The sequence below is a fragment of the Homo sapiens genome, chromosome 16 (genome assembly GCF_000001405.40).
Source record: "Homo sapiens chromosome 16, GRCh38.p14 Primary Assembly".
NCBI classification, from domain to species: Eukaryota; Metazoa; Chordata; class Mammalia; order Primates; family Hominidae; genus Homo; species Homo sapiens.
Window position 1 is genome coordinate 70,610,333 of NC_000016.10, and position 13,225 is coordinate 70,623,557.

The 13,225-nt window shown below is 47.6% G+C and overlaps 1 protein-coding gene across 8 annotated transcripts in view, besides 2 other annotated features; it reads left to right on the plus strand.

The window, feature by feature from the left end:
- IL34 (interleukin 34) overlaps window positions 1-13,225 on the plus strand; it is an 80,784-nt gene that overhangs the window by 30,434 nt on the left and 37,125 nt on the right. The window contains exon 2 of one of the 8 annotated variants that reach the window (XM_047433648.1): window positions 2,782-2,900. The exons of the other annotated variants lie outside the window; for them this stretch is intronic. The gene's annotated coding sequence lies outside the window, so the exon portion shown is untranslated. The remainder of the gene's footprint in view (window positions 1-2,781; window positions 2,901-13,225) is intronic. 8 annotated transcript variants of the gene reach the window in all.
- Window positions 11,148-11,695: an enhancer, noted in NCBI's record as "OCT4-NANOG-H3K27ac-H3K4me1 hESC enhancer chr16:70655383-70655930 (GRCh37/hg19 assembly coordinates)". NCBI's record gives its function as "activates a minimal SCP1, AML or CMV promoter by ChIP-STARR-seq in naive and primed H9 embryonic stem cells {active_cell/tissue: H9 hESC(naive and primed)}" and the evidence as "EXISTENCE:reporter gene assay evidence [ECO:0000049][PMID:30033119]".
- Window positions 11,696-12,243: an enhancer, noted in NCBI's record as "OCT4-NANOG-H3K27ac hESC enhancer chr16:70655931-70656478 (GRCh37/hg19 assembly coordinates)". NCBI's record gives its function as "activates a minimal SCP1, AML or CMV promoter by ChIP-STARR-seq in naive and primed H9 embryonic stem cells {active_cell/tissue: H9 hESC(naive and primed)}" and the evidence as "EXISTENCE:reporter gene assay evidence [ECO:0000049][PMID:30033119]".

The window sequence follows — 13,225 nt, forward strand, 5'->3', positions numbered from 1 at the left end:
TGCCTGTTTTCCTCCAGCGTCTGGGAGTGCCGAGTGTTCAGTTGACCCAGTTCTCCTTCTCTGCTGGAATTTTGGCATCTGGCCCATGTGTCCAGTTCATTCACTCAGCTATGATTTGCCAGAAGTTATAGAGTTTCCTATGTGTCAAGCAGGTGCCAGGCCCTGAGGACACAATGATGACACCAGAACCAGGCTCTGTCCCCAGACCCTGTGGTCATTCCTGTGGGGAGAACGACACACAACACACAACTGAATGCAGTTAGGATAATGTCGAGTGGCCAGTGCTGTGTGGAAAGTGCCGCAGAGGGAGTGACAGGGGTGGCCTGGTGGCCAGAGAAGGCATCTCTACGGAGGTGATGTTTGAGCTGACAAGAAGAAACCAGCTGGGGAGAAATCTCTTGTGGAATATTCCAGGAAGAGATAAGGCAAAGTCCTCAGGGAGTAGCCGTCGGTGCGGGACAGTGGGTGAAGCTAGGGTGAGGAGGAAGGAGGGGCCCCCTCAAGCCTGCCGGGAAGCCACGGAGAGCAGTTAGGGTTGATTCTGAGGGCAGATTCCAAGATTCTTCTGGAAATGAAAAAACTGCTTGCGTTCTTTCCCCCCCTTCCATCCTTTGTGATTTTGGGGGCTTCTTCTTTCTTTCTTCTTTTTGTTGTTGTTTGAGACAGGGTCTTGCTCTGTGGCCCAGGCCGGAGCACAGTGGCCTGGCACAATCTCAGCTCACTGCAACCTCCATGTCCCTGGTTCAGGCAGTCCTCCCGCCTCAGCCTCCTGAGTAGCCGAGACTACAGGTGCGCACCACCACGCCTGTCTAATTTTTCTGTTTTTAGTAGAGATGGGTTTCTCCATGTTGCCCAGGCTGGTCTCGAACTCCTGTGCTCAGGGGCTTTGTATTTTGAAACACATGTGAGAGGCTCTTGGAACTGGAAGGAAGGGTTGGTGCCCCCAGATTGCCTGAACTCGCTCTTGTATCCACTTCCTAGTTGCTGTGAAGGGGGAGGGGCTGCCAGGTACGGCAGATTTGTGTCCTTCTCCCCGCCACCTTGCTGGAGATACCTGGGAGTTTATACCATTCTACACCTGCAGGGGGGCCACTGACTGAATTAGGGGTGCAAAAGCCTGACCTCTTTGCCTCAAATAGAACAACACTGTGGTGCTATTTAAAAACAGCCTTCGGGCTGGGTGCAGTGGCTCACACCTGTAATCCCAGCTCTTTGGGAGGCTGAGGCAGGTGGATCGCTTGAGCTCAGGGGTTTGAGACTAGCCTGGGGCAACATGGTAAGACCCCATATCTACACAAAATTTAAAAAAGTTACCAGCCTGACCAACATGGTGAAACCCCGTTTCTACTAAAAATACAAAAATTAGCTGGGCATGGTGGCAGGCACCTGTAATCCCAGCTACTCCGGAGGCTGAGACAGGAGAATCGCTGGAACCCAAGAGGCAGAGGTTGCAGTGAGCCGAGATCACACCACTGCACTGCAGCCTGGGTGACAGAGCAAGACTCTGTCTTAAATAAATAAATAAATAAATAAATAGCTGGATGTGGTGACAAACACCTGTGGTCCCAGCTCTTCGGGAGGAGCAGGAGGATTGCTTGAGATTGGAGGATTGCCTGAGCCCAGGAGGTCAAGGATGCAGTGAGCCATGATTGCACCTCTGCACTCCAGCCTGGGCAATACAGTGAGACCCTGTGTAAAAATAAAAGATAGCCTTCTGTCTTGAGGTTCCCTCCCTTCATTAATCATGTGAAGCCCAAAGCCTGTCTCAGGCTCTGCTTCCAGGAGAGCCAGCCTCCAACAGGCCGATAGGGGCTGTGTGTTCTGTAGTCTAGAAATCGGGGTTCTGGGATCATGGAACCAGCTGACCCCTGGGGGCTTTTCCTTCCAGCTTTAAGAGTCTCTAAAGCTGTGTGATTTCCTCAAGTCACATAGCAAGTTATTGGCAGAGCCAGGCCCACAAACTACTCACAGCCTGAAAGCACTGGGGGCTGGGGGCTGGGGGCTAGGGGGATCTGCTGGTGAATGGTGAGTATGGTGCAGAGGCCAAGGCCCAAGCTGGAATACGGTGCAGAGGCCAAGGCCCAAGCTGTGGTTCATCCAAGGCTGTGCTCCCAGATGAAGCTCTGGATCTCAGGTAAGGCCCACTCTGCCGTAATTACTCCAGAGACTTTAGTTTCCTGAATTCTGCTCCCTTTACCTCTGTATTAGAATGATTCACACTAAAGTGTGAAAGATTGTCAGCTCAGAACCCTCCCAGAAGCAATGCATCCTGAAAAGAAAGTGCTTGTTAACCCACATCAATCTCTAATTGAAGGGACTTTTTGACAGGTATAAAGTGAGTTGGAAAAACGCACACAGTGTAAATCTGGAGCCTTTGGGGCTCAGGAGGGATTCCTCAGCTTCCCCAAGATCAGCTTCCCCACCCCCATTTCTGCTTCTCCCAATTAGAACACATGTTTTTTGTTTGTTTTGAGACAGAGTCTCACTCTATTGCCCAGGGTGGAGTCCAGTGGTACAATCTCAACTCACTGCAACCTCTGCCTCCCCGGTTAAAGCGATTCTCCTGCCTCAGCCTCCCAAGTAGCTGGGATCACCACGCCCAGCTAATTTTTATATGTTTAGTAGAGGCGGGGCTTCACTGTGTTGGCCAGGCTGGTCTCGAACTCCTGACCTCAAATGATCTGCCTGCCTTGGCCTCCCAAAGTGCTGGGATTACAGGCCTGAGCCACTGTGCCCGGCCTCAGACCACATCTGTTGAGAAATGCATGTCGTCTTCTTCAGGTTCCCACAGCAGGGCCGGTCGAAGGGGTGTCACTGGAAGTGAAGGTGACGCAACTGAAAAAATAATTTTGTGAGAAGTGTATTTTTGCAGAGGCTGGTGGTTTGAACTAATCTCCCTGGTAAGTGGTTTATTTCTCCGGAGAGTGAAGGACTGTGCATGATTTAGTAAATTTCCATGCCATGTTCTGAAGGGCTGGCATCCCTTCTTGGCTCAGGCAGGCTTGTAGCGTAGACTGGGGACATGGGGTTGGAGCGGGGCGGTTTCCTGAGGCATGGCGGCCACACTGGATGGGGCCTCACCTGGTCTCCACCCTTACTGTACAAGTGCCCTTGGCAAGTCACTTACCTTTTCCAAGGCGCAGTTTCCTCATCTGTGAAACAACTGGAGTTGGCTATTCCGGAACCTTGGTACTCAAAGTGTGGTCTGCAGACCAGTGGTATCTGCAGCACCTGGGAGCTTGTCAGAAATGCAGAGTCCAGCCAGGAGTGGTGGCTCACACCTGTAATCCCAACACTTTGGGAGGCTGCGGTGGGTGGATCACCAGAGGTCAGGAGCTCAAAACCAGCCTGGCCAGCACAGTGAAACCCTATCTCTACTAAAAATACAAAAATTAGCCAGGCATGGTGGCGTGCACCTGTAGTCCCAGCTACTTGGGAAGCTGAGGCAGGAGGATTGCTTGATCCTGGGAGGTGGAGGTTGCAGTGAGCTGAGGTTGCGCCACTGTACTCCAGCCTGGGTGACAGAGTGAGACTCTGTCTCAGGAAAAAAAAAAAGAAAGAAATGCAGAGTCCAGCCAGGCACGGTGGCTCACCCCTGTAATCCCAGTGCTCTGGGAGGCTGAGGCAGGAGGATTGCTTGAGGCCAGGAGTTTGAGACCAGCCTGGGCAATACAACAAGGCTTTGTCTCTTAAAAAAAAAAATTATCCAGGCGTGGTGGTGCACGCCTGTAGCCCCAGCTACTCAGGAGGCTGAGGTGGGAGGACTGCTTGAACCCAGGAGTCTGAGGCTGTTGTGAGCTGTGATCATGCCCCTGCACTCCAGCCTGGGCAATGGAGCAAAACCCTGTCTCAAAAAAAAAAAAAAAGAAGTGCAGTATCCCAGGCCCTACCCCAGACTTTCTGAGTGAGTCTATATTTTAACAAGATTCCAGGTAATGTGTCTGTATGGCACAGTTTGAGGAACCCTTCTTTGGAGCAGACTCCTCAAATGTGGTCCTTGCACCACCCCATCAGTGTCATCCGAGAGACAAAGCATGCTGGAAATGCAAGTTCATGGGCCCCTGACCTACTGAATTGTATGTCTGAGGGAGGGGCCTGGAGCCTGTGTTTTTTAACAGCCTCTCCAGGTGGTTCTTAAGCCCGCTGAGGTTTGAGAAGCATGGAAGCTCAGATTCAACAGTGATGGGAGCCGAGGTTTAGCTGTGGTGCAGCTGCTGAACACGGAACCTGTTTTGTTTTTGTGCTGCTTTCAGAAATGTGCACACACTTGCCTTTCACAGCAATTTCATGATGTTGTTTGTCCTTATCTTTGCTCTGCCTAAGAGATAACTGGGTTTTAAGGGAAGTTATGTGAATTGCCTACACTCTTTGTGTCTCACAGTGTCTTGCAATAGCAATATTCACATAAAGCATTTCTGGCAAGTGTCAGTGAGCTGTTACAGGTGATAAAACTTCTTGTAAATATTTGTTCCTTGATTATAAATGACAGAGGCTCTGTTGGAACAGGAGCTGGGGTAGATCTTGTAGGTCTTGCCCAAGGCTCAGGAGCTGATGAACTGCAACTCCTCTGTTTTACTGCTTAGTATTTTGATTAGAGAATAAACTCATACGGTTTCAACATCATGTAAAATAGAACTATAGCAAAGAGTTTTCTTCCTGCTCCTGTCCCATAACCGGCCTCACCGGGTAACTGTTTATATTTTATTGGGTCTAATCTAATTAGAGCTGATCCTCAGGAAAACAGAAACTCCTGATCTATGGCTCCCCTGTTACCCCCCAAATCTCTGGACTTACGGTGTATGCATTTTTGCAACTTATTTTACTACCCTGACAAAAAGTCCATCGAATTCTAGACTTATTTGGGTTAACAAACATCTTCTTTTAAAGATACACTGGCCAGGTGTGGTGGCTCACGCCTGTAATCCCAGCACTTTGGGAGGCCGAGGTGGGTGGATCAAGAGGTCAAGAGATCGAAACCATTCTGGCTAACATGGTGAAACCCCGTCTCTACTAAAAGTACAAAAATTAGCTGGGCGTGGTGGTGCTCACCTGTAGTCCCAGCTACTCAGGAGGTTGAGGCAGGAGAATTGCTTGAACCTGGGAGGTGGAGGTTGCAGTAAGCCGAGATTGCGCCACTGCACTCCAGCCTGGCAACAGAGCAAGACTCCGTCTCAAAATAAATAAATAAATAAATAAATAAAATAAAGATACACTGTCTCTGAAAGGTGTCTGAGTTGCCAATCTTTCACGCTTTAGTGTGAATTATTCTAATATGTTCACTTTATGCAAATGCAAGCATATACAAATATATAGATATAGATATAGGTAGATGAAAGTGCCAGGCGCAGTGGCACGTGCCTGTAATCTCAGCACTTTGGGAGTCTGAGGTGGGGCAAATCACTTGAGCTTAGGAGTTTGAAACCAGCCTGGGCAACACAGTGAAATCCCATCTCTACCAAAAATACAAAAAATTAGCTGAGTGTGGTGGTGCACACCCGTGGTCTCAGCTACTCGGAAGACTGAGGTGGGAGGATCTCTTGAGCCCAGGCAGTGGAGGTTGTGGCAAGCTGAGATGGCACCACTGCACTCCAGCGTGGGTGACAGATTGAGATCCTGTCTCAATAAAAAAATCCGTCCCCCCTCAAACTCCTTCCACAGATATTTATAGATAAAAGCTTTGCCACCTCTGCTGAACACAGCTTCCAACATAGAAAACACACCATTCAGTGTCTTGCTTGTTTTACTGAATCTATCATGCTATACTACTGTGTGGTGAACATGCAGGTTATACCATCTGCTATCACAGACGCTGATGAGATGAAAAATCTCATACACGTGGCCTGTTGCAGGTGCATACTGTATATGCAGGATAAATTCCCAGAAACGGCATTGCTAAGTATCTGCATTTGTGATTTGAGAGATATTGCCAATTTCCACTCCATAAGGTTAATACCAATTTGCACTTCCATCAGCTTTGGATGAAAAATTAGTTTGCCCGCATCATTGCCAACACATTAAATTGGATTTATATCATTGGATTTTTACCAATCTGATAGGTGAAAAACAGTGACTCAATGTAGTCTTAATTTAAATTTGTTATGAAAAAATTTTAATTTATAATGTGTTTAAGGCCTATGTATTTTTCTATGACCGTCTTACTCATATTGTTTTGCTTATTTTATTTATTTATTTTTTTGTGAGCAACATGTCTGTTTATTTCACCTGGGTGCAGGCGGGCTGAGTCCGAAAAGAGAGTCAGCAAAGCGTGCTGGATTATCATTAGTTCTTATAGGTTTTGGGATAGGCGGTGAAGTTAAGAGCAATGTTTTGCGGGCAGGGGTGGATCTCACACAGTACATTCTCAAGGGTGGGGAGAATTACAAACAACCTGCTTAAGGGTGGGGGAGATTACAAAGTACATTGATCAGTTAGGTGGGGCAGGAACAAATCACAATGGTGGAATGTCATCAGTTAAGGCTATTTTTACTTCTTTTGTGGATCTTCAGTTACTTCAGGCCATCTGGATGTATACGTGCAAGTCACAGGGGATGCGATGGCTTGGCTTGGGCTCAGAGGCCTGACATTCCTGCCGCCTTATATTAATAAGAAAAATCAAAATAGTGTTGAAGTCCTGGGGCGGCGAAAATTTTTGGGGGGTGGTATGGAGAGAGAGTGGGCGATGTTTCTCAGGGTTGCTTCAAGCAGGATTAGGGGTGGCGTGGGAACCTAGAGTGGGAGAGATTAAGCTGAAGGAAGATTTTGTGGTAAGGGGTGATATTGTGGGGTTGTTAGAAGAAACATTTGTTGTGTAGAATTATTGGTGATGGCCTGGATATGATTTTGTATGAATTGAAAAACTAAATGGAATAAGAGAAGGAGAAAAACCGGTATAAAAGGTCTAAGAATTGGGAAGACCTAGGACATCTGATTAGAGAGTGCCTAAGGAGATTCAGTATAGTCCTGCCAGCAAAGATTATTTATTTACTTCAAGAGTTAAGAGTGGCAGTTTGGGGATAGCACGAGGAGATATCAGCTGTGATGGCTTGGAGAAACTGTGTAAACCGGCAGTGTAAACAAGAGCAGGGCATGTATGAGTAGTTGAGAACGGAGAATAGGAGTATGACTAGACAGAAGATAGTAGGGATGACAAGTTTTTTTGGGGCACAGTCTAAGTTGGTCTGGTGTCTGGAATGAGACTGGGGCCTAATAAAAAGGAGCGTCTATACAGGAGCTTAAATGGGCTGTACCCCCTGTAGCATTCCGAAGACAGGCCTGAATTCTGAGAAGGGAAAGTGGTAAAAGTATTGTCCAGTCCTTTTTAAGTTGGTGGCTGAGCTTGGTGAGGTGTGTTTTTAAAAGACCTTTAGTCCATTCTACTTTTCTTGAAGACGGAGGACCGTAAGGGATATAAAGGTTTCACTGAATACTAAGAGCCTGAAAAACTGCTTGGCTGATTTGACTAATAAAGGCTCGTCTGTTATCAGACTGTATAGAGGTGGGAAGGCTAAACTGAGGAATTATGTCTGACAGAAGGGAAGAAATGACTGCGGTGGCCTTCTCAGACCCTGTAGGAAAGGCCTCTACCTATCCAGTGAAAGTATCTACCTAGACTAAGAGGTATTTTAGTTATCTGACTCAGGGCATGTTGAGTAAAGCTAATTTGCCAGTCCTGGGTGGGGCAAATCCTCCAGCTTGATGTGTAGAGAAGGGAGGGGGCCTGAATAATCCCTGAGGAGTAGTAGAATAGCAGATGGAACACTGAGAAGTTATTTCCTTGAGGATAGATTTCCACAATGGAAAGGAAATGAGAGGTTCTAGGAGGCGGGCTAGTGGCTTGTACTATAGCATAGCCTGCCTTTGCTGGTGTGTGGTGATTAGGCCTGGTGGAACCTCCATCAATAAATCAAGCGTGATCAGGGTGAGGAACAGGAAAGAAGGAAATTTGGGGAAATGGGGTTAATGTCAGGTGGATCTGAGAGATACAGTCATGGGGGTCAGGTGTGGTATCAGGAATAATGTGGGAGGCCGGATTGAAGTCTGGGCCAGGAACAACGGTAATTGTGGGAGACTCAACAAAGAGTGAGTATAGCTGAAGGAGCCGGGAAGCAGAAATTATATGCGTCAGGTATGAGGAAGAAAATAGATTTTGGAAGTTATGAGAAATGTAGAGAGTGAGTTGAGCATAGTTTGTGATTTTGAGGGCCTCTAAAAGTATTAATGCAGCGGCAGCCGCTGCACGCAGACATGAGGGCTAGGCTAAAACAGTAAGGTCAAGTTGTTTGGACAGAAAGGTTACAGGGTGTGGTCCTGGCTCTTGTGTAAGAATTCTGACCACGCTAACCATGCCTAGGGAGGAAAGGAATTGTTTTGTAGAAGGTGCTGGGGTTTGAGAGATCAGTCGGACAGGGAGATCACGTGTGTTTTTATGAGAATTATGCAGAGATAGGTAACAGATGAGGAAGAAATTTGGGCTTGATTGAAGTAATGGGGGCTGTCTGTGAAGCTTTGCAGCAGTACAGCCTAGGTAATTTGCTGAGCTTGATGGGGGTCAGGGTCAGTCCAAGTGAAAGTGAAGAGAGGCTGGGATTAACGGTGCAAAGGAATAGTAAAGAAAGCATGTTTGAGATGTAGAACAGAATAATGGGTTATAGAGGCAGGTATTGAGGATAGGAGAGTATATGGGTTTGGCACCACGGGGTGGATAGGCAAAACAATTTGGTTGATAAGGCATAGATCCTGAACTAACTTGTAAGGCTTGTCTGGTTTTAGGACAGGTAAAATGGGGGAATTGTAAGGAGTTTATAGGCTTTAAAAGGCCATGCTGTAGCAGACGAGTGATAACAGGCTTTAATCTTTTTAAAGCGTGCTGCGGGATGGGATATTGGCGTTGAGTGGGGTAAGGGTGATTAGGTTTTAATGAGATGGTAAGGGGTGCATGATCGGTCGCCAAGGAGGGAGTAGAGGTATCTTGTGGGTTAAGGTGGGGGAATACAAGAGGAGACGCAAAGGAGGCTTTGGATTGGGAAGAAGGGTGGCAATGAGATATAGCTGTAGTCCAGGAATAGTCAGGGAAGCAGATAATTTAGTTAGAGTATCTCGGCCTAATAAGGGAACTGGGCAGGTGGGGATAACTAAAAAGGAGTGCTTAAAAGAGTATTGCCTAAGTTGGCACCAGAGTTGGGGAGTTTTAAGAGGTTTAGAAGCCTGGCCGTCAATACCCACAACAGTTATGGAGGCAAGGGAAACAGGCCCTTGAAAAGAAGGTAATGTGGAGTGGGTAGCCTCCGTATTGATTAAGAAGGGAAAGGGCTTACCTTCCACTGTGAGAGTTACTCGAAGCTCAGCGTCTGTGATGGTCTACAGGGCTTTCGAGGCGATCGGGCAGTGTCAGTCTTCAGCCGCTAAGCCGAGAAGATCTGGGAAGGAGTCAGTCAGAGAGCCTTGGGCCAGAGTTCCAGGGGCTCTGGGAGTGGCTGCCAGGTGAGTTGAACAGTCCGATTTTCAGTGGGGTCCCACACAGATGGGACGCGGCTTAGGAGGAATCCCGGGCTGCCGGCATTCCTTGGCCCAGTGGCCAGATTTCCAGCACATGTAGCAAGCTCCTGTGGGAGGAGGTTCTGGAGGAACGCCTGGCCGCTGCGGTTCAGGAGTTTGGAAGTTCTTGTGTGCTGGAGATGTGGCTGGGGTTTGTCTCACAGTGGAGGCAAGGAATTGCAACTTTTTTCTATTATTGTACACCTTGAAGGCGAGGTTAATTAAATCCTGTTGTGGGGTTTCAGGGCTGGAATTTAATTTTTGGAGTTTTATTTAATGTCGGGAGCACATTGGGTAATAAAATGTATTTTGAGAATAAGATGGCCTTTTGACCTTTTAGGGTCTAGGGCTGTAAAGCGTCTCAAGGTTGCAGCCAAACAAGACATGAACTGGGCTGGATTTTTATACTTGATGAAAAAGAGCCTAAACGCTATCTGATTTGGGATAAAGAAAAAGGAGCATTCACCTTGACTATGCCTTTGGCTCCAGCCACCTTTTTAAGAGTGAATTGCTGGGCAGGTGGGGGAGGGCTAGTCACGCAACGAAACTGTAAGCCCCACCAGGTGTGAGGAGGGGAGGTGATAAAAAGATAGGGTGGAGGAGCGGAGGCTGAGGAAGAATTGGGACCTAGCTCAGCCTGGCGAGGAGGGGAGAGGTCAGATGGGTCTGTAGAAAAGGAAGATTAGAAAGACTCAGCGACACTTGGGGTTGGGACTGAGGGGACAGGCGGGAGGGAAAGAAGGAAGATTTGGTACGAGTTGCATTGGGCACAGAGACTAGGAAGGGACTGATGTGTAAAAGAATGCCTGGACGTCAGGCACCTCAGACCTTCTGCGTATTTTACAACAAGAATTATTTAGATTTGCAGGATGGAAAAATTCAAAGTGCTATTTTCTGGCTATTTGGAACTACTGTCGAGTTTGTATTGGGATCAAGGGGCATTGCAGAAGAAAAGGCACTTAGGTTTTAGGTCAGGTGTGAGTTGAAGAGGTTTTAAGTTTTTGAGAACACAGGCTAAGGGAGAAGAAGGAGGAATGGAATGTGGAATCTTACGTATAGTGAAGGAGGCAAGCCCAGAGAAAAGAGTAGAGACACGGAGAAGGGGTGGAGGGTTCTTGCCCTCCAGAAAAGCAGAGAAGGGGTTGGGGCACGGAAATAAGGGATTGAGACACAGAGATAAGAGTTTGGGTGTGGAAATAAGCAATTAGGGGGTTCTTGCCCCCTAGGAAAGCGGGACTTGTCGCTAAGGGTGAAGGAGAAGGGGTTGAGGGGTACTTGCCCCTGCCCCAGGAAAGCAGGACTTGCCGCTAAGGTTGAAGGACCAAGGCAGGCGTCCCTGCATGGTCTGACACCCTTGAAGCGTGCCTGTATAATCAGAGAGGCGTCCCTGCAATGATTAAACACCAAGGGAAGGCTGCCTTCCCAGTCCGTGACTGGCACCGGAGTTTTGGGTCCACGGATAAAACATGTCTCCTTCGTCTCTCCCAGAAAATGAAAGGAATTGAAATTAAGAGAAGGGAGAGATTGAAGAGTGGAAAGAAGAAAGTGGTTGAGGGACAGTGAGAGAGGTTGGAGAAGAGTAAGAAGGGGCCGCTTACCTGATTTAAAATTGGTGATATTCCTTGGGCTGGTCGGTCTGAGGACCTGAGGTCGTAGGTGGATCTTTCTCATGGAGCAAAGAACAGGAGGACAGGGGATTGATCTCCCAAGGGAGGTCCCCCGATCCGAGTCATGGCACCAAATTTCATGCGCGTCCGTGTGAAGAGACCATCAAACAGGCTTTGTGTGAGCAACATGGCTGTTTATTTCACCTGGGTGCAGGCAGGCTGAGTCCGAAAAGAGAGTCAGTGAAGGGAGATAAGGGTGGGGCCGTTTTATAGGATTTGGGTAGGTAAAGGAAAATTACAGTCAAAGAGGGTTTGTTCTCTGGCGGGCAGGAGTGGGGGTCGCAAGGTGCTCAGTGGGGGTGTTTTTGAGCCAGGATGAGCCAGGAGAAGGACTTTCACAAGGTAATGTCATCAGTTAAGGCAAGGACCGGCCATTTACACTTCTTTTGTGGTGGAATGTCATCAGTTAAGGGGGGGCAGGGCATATTCACTTCTTTTGTGATTCTTCAGTTACTTCAGGCCATCTGGGCGTATATACGTGCAAGTCACAGGGGATGTGATGGCTTGGCTTGGGCTCAGAGGCCTGACAGGTTTCACTGAATACTAAGAGCCTGAAAAACTGCTTGGCTGATTTGACTAATAAAGGCTGGTCTGTTATCAGACTGTATAGAGGGGGGAAGGCTAAACTGAGGAATTATGTCTGACAAAAGGGAAAAAATGACTGTGGTGGCCTTCTCAGACCCTGTAGGAAAGGTCTTTGCTTATTCAGTGAAAGTGTCTATTTAGACTAAAAGTTATTTTAGTTATCTGACTCAGGGCATGTTGAATAAAGCTAATTTGCCAGTCCTGGGCGGGGGCAAATCCCTGAGCTTGATGTGTAGGGAAGGGAGGAGGCCTGAATAATCCCTGAGGAGTAGTAGAACAGCAGATGGAACACCGAGAAGTTATTTCCTTGAGGATAGATTTCCACGATGGAAAGGAAATGAGAGGTTCTGAGAGGCGGGCTAGTGGCTTGTACTATAGCATAGCCTGCCTTTGCTGGTGTGTGGCGATTAGGCCTGGTGGAACTGCCATCAATAAATCAAGCGTGATCAGGGTGAGGAACAGGAAAGAAGGAAATTTGGGGAAATGGGGTTAATGTCAGGTGGATCAGAGAGATACAGTCATGGGGGTCAGGTGTGGTATCAGGAATAATGTGGGGGGCCAGATTGAAGTCCGGGCCAGGAACAATGGTAATTGTGGGACTTAAAGAGTGAGTACAGCTGAAGGAGCCGGGGAGCAGAAAGTATATGCTTCAGGTATGAGGAAGAAAATAGATTTTGGAAGTTATGAGAAATGTAGAGAGTGAGTTGAGCATAGTTTGCGATTTTTAGGGCCTCTAAAAGTATTAATGCAGCGGCACCCGCTGTATGCAGACATGAGGGCTAGGCTAAAACATTAAGGTCAAATTGTTTGGACAGAAAGGCTACAGGGTGCGGTCCTGGCTCTTGTATAAGAATTCTGACCACACTAACCATACCTAGGAAGAAAAGGAGTTGTTTTGTAAGGGATTGAGGTTTGGGGGATTAATCGGACACGAGCAGCAGGGGGAGCACCTGTGTTTTTATGAAGAATTATGCTGAGATAGGTAACAGATGAGGATGAAATTTGGGCTTGATTGAAGTAATGGGGGCTGTCTGTGACGCCTTGCAGCAGTACAGCCCAGGTAATTTGCTGAGCCTAATGGGTGTCAGGGTCAGTCCAAGTGAAAGCGAAGAGAGGCTGGGATGATGGGAGCAAAGGAATAGTAAAGAAAGCATGCTTGAGATCCAGAACATAATAATGGATTGTGGAGGGAGGTATGGAGGATAGGAGAGTATATGGGTTTGACACCATAGGGTGGATAGGCAAAACAATTTGGTTGATAAGGCACAGATCCTGAACTAACTTGTAAGGCTTGTCTGGTTTTAGGACAGGCAAAATGGGGGAATTGTAAGGAGAGTTTATAGGCTTTAAAAGGCCATGCTGTAGCAGGCGAGTGATAACAGGCTTTAATCCTTTCAAAGCATGCTGTGGGATGGGATATTGGCATTGAACAGGGTAAG